A 7,609-nucleotide genomic window follows, 5' to 3' on the forward strand; every position below is an offset into this window, starting at 1 on the left:
CAAATATTGGGGCAAAAATTTAACAAAAGTTGAACTGTTATAAATCTCCAGATGGAGTTAACTAATTAGATAGAAAAATATATGTACATAACTACTGAGGGATAATTTAATTGATTATTTCTGCAATATTGTAGCAGGAAATTTTTTTTAAGGTTTCTCAAAAGCTATAAATTATCAAGGAAATGACTGCTAAATTAAAATATATTAAGACAAAAATGCTCTGTTGAGAAATTTGACTCTAAAAGGTGACCATTATATGTTCCAAGTGAAAAAGTCATTTAACAGAGCAGTGTGTATAATTGTATTCTATTTGTATCTGTGTATGTGCCTCAGTGTGAGTCAATCTCACTGTGACTTATACTTCTATAGAAGAAATGGCTTGAAGTCTATTCAGTGAAATGTTAGCAATTACTATCTCCCGGCAGTGGAATTATGTGTAGTTTTCATTTCCTTTCCATATTGTCTGACTCTTATATAATGATTACATACTGTGTTTACATATTTTTACAAAGCTATTTTAATCATTGAGAAGGATTACCTTTTGTTTGCTTAAGATAATGTTTATAATTTGTAGTCCTGATTAACTTTTGGATGAAAACAAGGGTAAAATCTGTTTTTTGAACATGTTATAGTTAGATCAGTAGCCTATGACTCTGAAATCCAAAACCTAAATCTTTTTTCTGAGACTTCGAGAGAAATTTTTCAGTCTATTCTCACTTGAAAAATAACTACAAGCTTCAGCATGTACCTCGCCTATACAACCAACGTTAAATGTGTCTCTATTCCAAATGTGCATTCCAAAGTGCAGAAACACATTCAAACATTGTGCAAACTAAAGACTATTACAATTGAAAAGAACAACATAAACAATGTTTTCTATCAAGTCATAGCTCAGGTTAATATTATTTTTATTGTGGTAAAATTTTGTGTTTATAAAAAATCATTTTATGCAATGTAAAATATCTTATATTAATTGATGTAAAGTTATTTTATACTAATGCAAAAACATTTTTTAAGGCACCCCTCTGTGAAAACATTCCTTACTACCATTCCCATTTACCACTCAATTGAGGTTATTCTCTGTCTCCAAGTTTTTCCTATTACATTTTGCTTAACCTTTACTCTGTTTTTCATTATGCCATACTGTACTGTACATTTCTCCATTGAATTTTAAGCTGCCTGTAAGGACATACTATATGCGTTTTTGTCATGCTGATAGCTTCTCATACAGAGCATAGTATACAATGTAAGTGTTCAGCAAATATTTATTGGATTGACTTGAATAATCAAAAATATTAACGTTGCATGGTATCTATCATCTACCTAATCATATGTCTATCATTTTTCATCTGTCTATCTTTCTGATACAAACAATTTGGGGTTAATGTCATTTCCAGGGAAAATAAAAATGTAATAAAATTTGTTAGTACATGTAGTTCTACTATAAAGGATAATTTATCAATCCATATAGCCAGTGGGATTATTTAAAATGTTTAGTGTAATTGGAACCCTGCCAATACATTTAAGATTATGAAATTCTCACAGAGTTTAGTAGATTTGGCCATTTAATTTGTTCCCTAAATATTTATTAAACATTTTTTTAAAAAACTCTGAGTGTTACATTAAACCCTGGGAACTCAAAGACTAATATGGCATGGTACCTAAACTGAAGAGGCTTACAGATTTTTGGTTCGGACACAACATTCATCAAAAGTCACTGAAAGGCATACGGGTGCTACAAGCTAGACGTTGGGGTACTAGTCCTATGGGGTACTTATGAGGAGTGTGAATCTAGGTTGGGGTATTCTGGAGTCCTTCTTAGAATGGAGTCAGTGCGTGTAGACATTCAAAACCATGTGTACGTGCTTTGCAAACTGTAAGTAGTATGTAAATATAGTCCAGCATTATTGATAAATACATTTGCTGAAGAAGTCTGCCTCTGAAAAAAGTCAGTTAAACTCTCTGAAGTGAAAAATGATTAACCATCTTTTCTAAAGCCAGCATTCCTTTCTTCTTGAATGGAATTCTAGACCATGATCTAGTGACTAACTGGAAAACTAAGAGTATCAATGTTAAGGGAGTATCAAGAAAAGTAGAAGCAGAAAAAATTATTGACGTGTTGGGCACAGAATTTAAGTCACCTGGTTCAGTGCCACACATTGTAGATATTAAATATTTTATATTCAGTGACAGTCATAAACTTGTCCATTGTGTGTAAATAGTATTATGACTTTAACTCTGTGCACATTAGAATACAGTTCAGTTGGCGGGGAGGAGCCAAGATGGCCGAATAGGAATAGCTCCGGTCTACAGCTCCCAGCGTGAGCAACGCAGAAGACGGGTGATTTCTGCATTTCCATCTGAGGTACGGGGTTAATCTCACTAGGGAGTGCCAGACAGTGGGCGCAGGTCAGTGGGTGCCCGCACCGTGCGCCAGCCGAAGCAGGGCGAGGCATTGCCTCACTTGGGAAGCGCAAGGGGTCAGGGAGTTCCCTTTCTGAGTCAAAGAAAGGGGTGACCGACGCACCTGGAAAATCGGGTCACTCCCACCCGAATACTGCACTTTGCCTACCGGCTTAAAAAACGGCGCACCACGAGATTATACCTCGCACCTGGCTCGGAGGGTCCTACGCCCACCGAGTCTCGCTGATTGCTAGCACAGCAGTCTGAGATCAAACTGCAAGGAGGCAGCGAGGCTGGGGGAGGGGTGCCCGCTATTGCCCAGGCTTGATTAGGTAAACAAAGCAGCCTGGAAGCTCGAACTGGGTGGAGCCCACCACAGCTCAAGGAGGCCTGCCTGCCTCTGTAGGCTCCACCTCTGAGGGCAGGGCACAGACAAACAAAAAGACAGCAGTAACCTCTGCAGACTTAAATGTCCCTGTCTGACAGCTTTGAAGAGAGCAGTGGTTCTCCCAGCACGCAGCTGGAGATCTGAGAACGGGCAGACTGCCTCCTCAAGTGGGTCCCTGACCCCTGACCCCCGAGCAGCCTAACTCGGAGGCACCCCCCAGCAGGGGCACACTGACACCTCACACAGCCAGGTACTCCAACAGACCTGCAGCTGAGGGTCCTCTCTGTTAGAAGGAAAACTAACAAACAGAAAGGACATCCACACCAAAAACCCATCTGTACATCACCATCATCAAAGACCAAAAGTAGATAAAACCACAAAGATGGGGAAAAAACAGAACAGAAAAACTGGAAACTCTAAAAAGCAGAGTGCCTCTCCTCCTCCAAAGGAACGCAGTTCCTCACCAGCAACGGAACAAAGCTGGACGGACAATGACTTTGACGAGCTGAGAGAAGAAGGCTTCAGACGATCAAATTACTCTGAGCTATGGGAGGACATTCAAACCAAAGGCAAAGAAGTTGAAAACTTGAAAAAAATTTAGAAGAATGTATAACTAGAATAACCAATACAGAGAAGTGCTTAAAGGAGCTGATGGAGCTGAAAACCAAGGCTCAAGAACTACATGAAGAATGCAGAAGCCTCAGGAGCCGACGCGATCAACTGGAAGAAAGGGTATCAGCGATGGAAGATGAAATGAATGAAATGAAGTGAGAAGGGAAGTTTAGAGAAAAAAGAATAAAAAGAAATGAGCAAAGCCTCCAAGAAATATGGGACTATGTGAAAAGACCAAATCTACATCTGATTGGTGTACCTGGAAGTGATGGGGAGAATGGAACCAAGTTGGAAAACACTCTGCCGGATATTATCCAGGAGAACTTCCCCAATCTAGCAAGGCAGGCCAACGTTCAGATTCAGGAAATACAGAGAATGCCACAAAGATACTCCTCGAGAAGAGCAACTCCAAGACACATAATTGTCAGATTTACCAAAGTTGAAATGAAGGAAAAAATGTTAAGGGCAGCCAGAGAGAAAGGTCGAGTTACCCTCAAAGGGAAGCCCATCAGACTAACAGCGGATCTCTCGGCAGAAACCCTACAAGCCAGAAGAGAGTGGGGGCCAATATTCAACATTCTTAAAGAAAAGAATTTTCAACCCAGAATTTCATATCCAGCCAAACTAAGCTTCATAAGTGAAGGAGAAATAAAATACTTTACAGACAAGCAAATGCTGAGAGATTTTGTCACCACCAGGCCTGCCTTACAAGAGCTCCTGAAGGAAGCGCTAAACATGGAAAGGAACATACAGTACCAGCCGCTGCAAAATTATGCCAAAATGTAAAGACCATCGAGACTAGGAAGAAACTGCATCAACTAACGAGCAAAATCACCAGCTAACATCATAATGACAGGATCAAATTCAAACATAACAGTATTAACTTTAAATGTAAATGCACTAAATGCTCCAATTAAAAGACACAGACTGGCAAATTGGATAAAGAGTCAAGACCCATCAGTGTGCTGTATTCAGGAAACCCATCTCACATGCAGAGACACACATAGGCTCAAAATAAAAGGATGGAGGAAGATCTACCAAGCAAATGGAAAACAAAAAAAGGCAGGGGTTGCAATCCTAGTCTCTGATAAAACAGTCTTTAAATCAACAAAGATCAAAAGAGACAAAGAAGGCCATTACATAATGGTAAAGGGATCAATTCAACAAGAAGAGCTAACTATCCTAAATCTATATGCACCCAAGACAGGAGCACCCAGATTCATAAAGCAAGTCCTGAGTGACCTACAAAGAGACTTAGACTCCCACACATTAATAATGGGAGACTTTAACACCACACTGTCAACATTAGACAGATCAACGAGACAGAAAGTCAACAAGGATACCCAGGAATTGAACTCAGCTCTGCACCAAGCGGACCTAATAGACATCTACAGAACTCTCCACCCCAAATCAACAGAATATACATTTTTTTCAGCACCACAACACACCTATTCCAAAATTGACCACATACTGGGAAGTAAAGCTCTCCTCAGCAAATGTAAAAGAACAGAAATTATAACAAACTATCTCACAGACCACAGTGCAATCAAACTAGAACTCAGGATTAAGAATCTCACTCAAAACCGCTCAACTACATGGAAACTGAACAACCTGCTCCTGAATGACTACTGGGTACATAACGAAATGAAGGCAGAAATAAAGATGTTCTTTGAAACCAACGAGAACAAAGACACAACATACCAGAATCTCTGGGACACATTCAAAGCAGTGTGTAGAGGGAAATTTATAGCACTAAATGCCCACAGGAGAAAGCAGGAAAGATCCAAAATTGACACCCTAACATCACAATTAAAAGAACTAGAAAAGCAAGAGCAAACACATTCAAAAGCTAGCAGAAGGCAAGAAATAACTAAAATCAGAGCAGAACTGAAGGAAATAGAGACACAAAAAACCCTTCAAAAAATTAATGAATCCAGGAGCTGGTTTTTTGAAAGGATCAACAAAATTGATAGACTGCTAGCAAGACTAATAAAGAAAAAAAGAGAGAAGAATCAAATAGACACAATAAAAAATGATAAAGGGGATATCACCACCGATCCCACAGAAATACAAACTACCATCAGGGAATACTACAAACACCTCTACGCAAATAAACTAGAAAATCTAGAAGAAATGCATAAATTCCTGAACACATACACTCTCCCAAGACTAAACCAGGAAGAAGTTCAATCTCTGAATAGACCAATAACAGGAGCTGAAATTGTGGCAATAATCAATAGCTTACCAACCAAAAAGAGTCCAGGACCAGATGGATTCACAGCCGAATTCTACCAGAGGTACAAGGAGGAACTGGTACCATTCCTTCTGAAACTATTCCAATCAATAGAAAAAGAGGGAATCCTCCCTAACTCATTTTATGAGGCCAGCATTATTCTGATACCAAAGCCAGGCAGAGACACAACAAAAAAATAGAATTTTAGACCAATATCCTTGATGAACATTGATGCAAAAATCCTCAATAAAATACTGGCAAACCGAATCCAGCAGCACATCAAAAAGCTTATCCACCATGATCAAGTGGGCTTCATCCCTGGGATGCAAGGCTGGTTCAATATACACAAATCAATAAATGTAATCCAGCATATAAACAGAACCAAAGACAAAAACCACATGAGTATCTCAATAGATGCAGAAAAAGCCTTTGACAAAATTCAACAACCATTCATGCTAAAAACTCTCAATAAATTAGGTATTGATGGGACGTATTTCAAAATAATAAGAGCTATCTATGACAAACCCACAGCCAATATCATACTGAATGGGCAAAAACTGGAAGCATTCCCTTTGAAAACTGGCACAAGACAGGGATGCCCTCTCTCACCACTCCTATTCAACATAGTGTTGGAAGTTCTGGCCAGGGCAATTAGGCAGGAGAAGGAAATAAAGGGTATTCAATTAGGAAAAGAGGAAGTCAAATTGTCACTGTTTGCAGACAACATGATTGTATATCTAGAAAACCCCATTGTCTCAGCCCAAAAGCTCCTTAAGCTGATAAGCAACTTCAGCAAAGTCTCAGGATACAAAATCAATGTACAAAAATCACAAGCATTCTTATACACCAATAACAGACAAACAGAGAGCCAAATCAAGAGTGAACTCCCATTCACAACTGCTTCAAAGAGAATAAAATACCTAGGAATCCAACTTACAAGGGATGTGAAGGACCTCTTCAAGGAGAACTACAGACCACTGCTCAAGGAAATAAAAGAGGATACAAACAAATGGAAGAACATTCCATGCTCATGGGTAGGAAGAATCAATATCGTGAAAATGGCCATACTGCCCAAGGTAATTTACAGATTCAATGCCATCCCCATCAAGCTACCAATGACTTTCTTCACAGAATTGGAAAAAACTACTTTAAAGTTCATATGGAACCAAAAAAGAGCCCGCATCTCCAAGTCAATCGTAAGCCAAAAGAACAAAGCTGGAGGCATCACACTACCTGACTTCAAACTATACTACAAGGCTACAGTAACCAAAACAGCATGGTACTGGTACCAAAACAGAGATATACATCAATGGAACAGAACAGAGCCCTCAGAAATAACGCCGCATATCTACAACTATCTGATCTTTGACAAACCTGAGAAAAACAAGCAATGGGGAAAGGATTCCCTATTTAATAAATGGTGCTGGGAAAACTGGCTAGCCATATGTAGAAAGCTGAAACTGGATCCCCTCCTTACACTTTATACAAAAATCAATTCAAGATGGATTAAAGACTTAAACATTAGACCTAAAACCATAAAAACCCTAGAAGAAAACCTAGGCATTACCATTTAGGACATAGGCATGGGCAAGGACTTCATGTCTAAAACACCGAAAGCAATGGCAACAAAAGCCAAAATTGACAAATGGGATCTAATTAAACTAAAGAGCTTCTGCACAGCAAAAGAAACTACCATATGAGTGAACAGGCAACCTACAAAATGGGAGAAAATTTTCGCAACCTACTCATCTGACAAAGGGCTAATATCCAGAATCTACAATGAACTCAAACAAATTTACAAGAAAAAAACAAACAACCCCATCAAAAAGTGGGTGAAGGACATGAACAGACACTTCTCAAAAGAAGACATTTATGCAGCCAAAAAACACATGAAAAAATACTCATCATCACTGGCCATCAGAGAAATGCAAATCAAAACCACAATGAGATACCATCTCACACCAGTTAGAATG

The 7,609-nt window shown here is 39.0% G+C and overlaps 1 annotated feature.

Annotated features, from left to right (window-relative positions):
* Window positions 2,550-3,154: an enhancer, noted in NCBI's record as "NANOG-H3K27ac-H3K4me1 hESC enhancer chr3:110159215-110159819 (GRCh37/hg19 assembly coordinates)". NCBI's record gives its function as "activates a minimal SCP1, AML or CMV promoter by ChIP-STARR-seq in naive and primed H9 embryonic stem cells {active_cell/tissue: H9 hESC(naive and primed)}" and the evidence as "EXISTENCE:reporter gene assay evidence [ECO:0000049][PMID:30033119]".

Source organism: Homo sapiens, chromosome 3 (genome assembly GCF_000001405.40).
Source record: "Homo sapiens chromosome 3, GRCh38.p14 Primary Assembly".
Classification (NCBI taxonomy): Eukaryota; Metazoa; Chordata; class Mammalia; order Primates; family Hominidae; genus Homo; species Homo sapiens.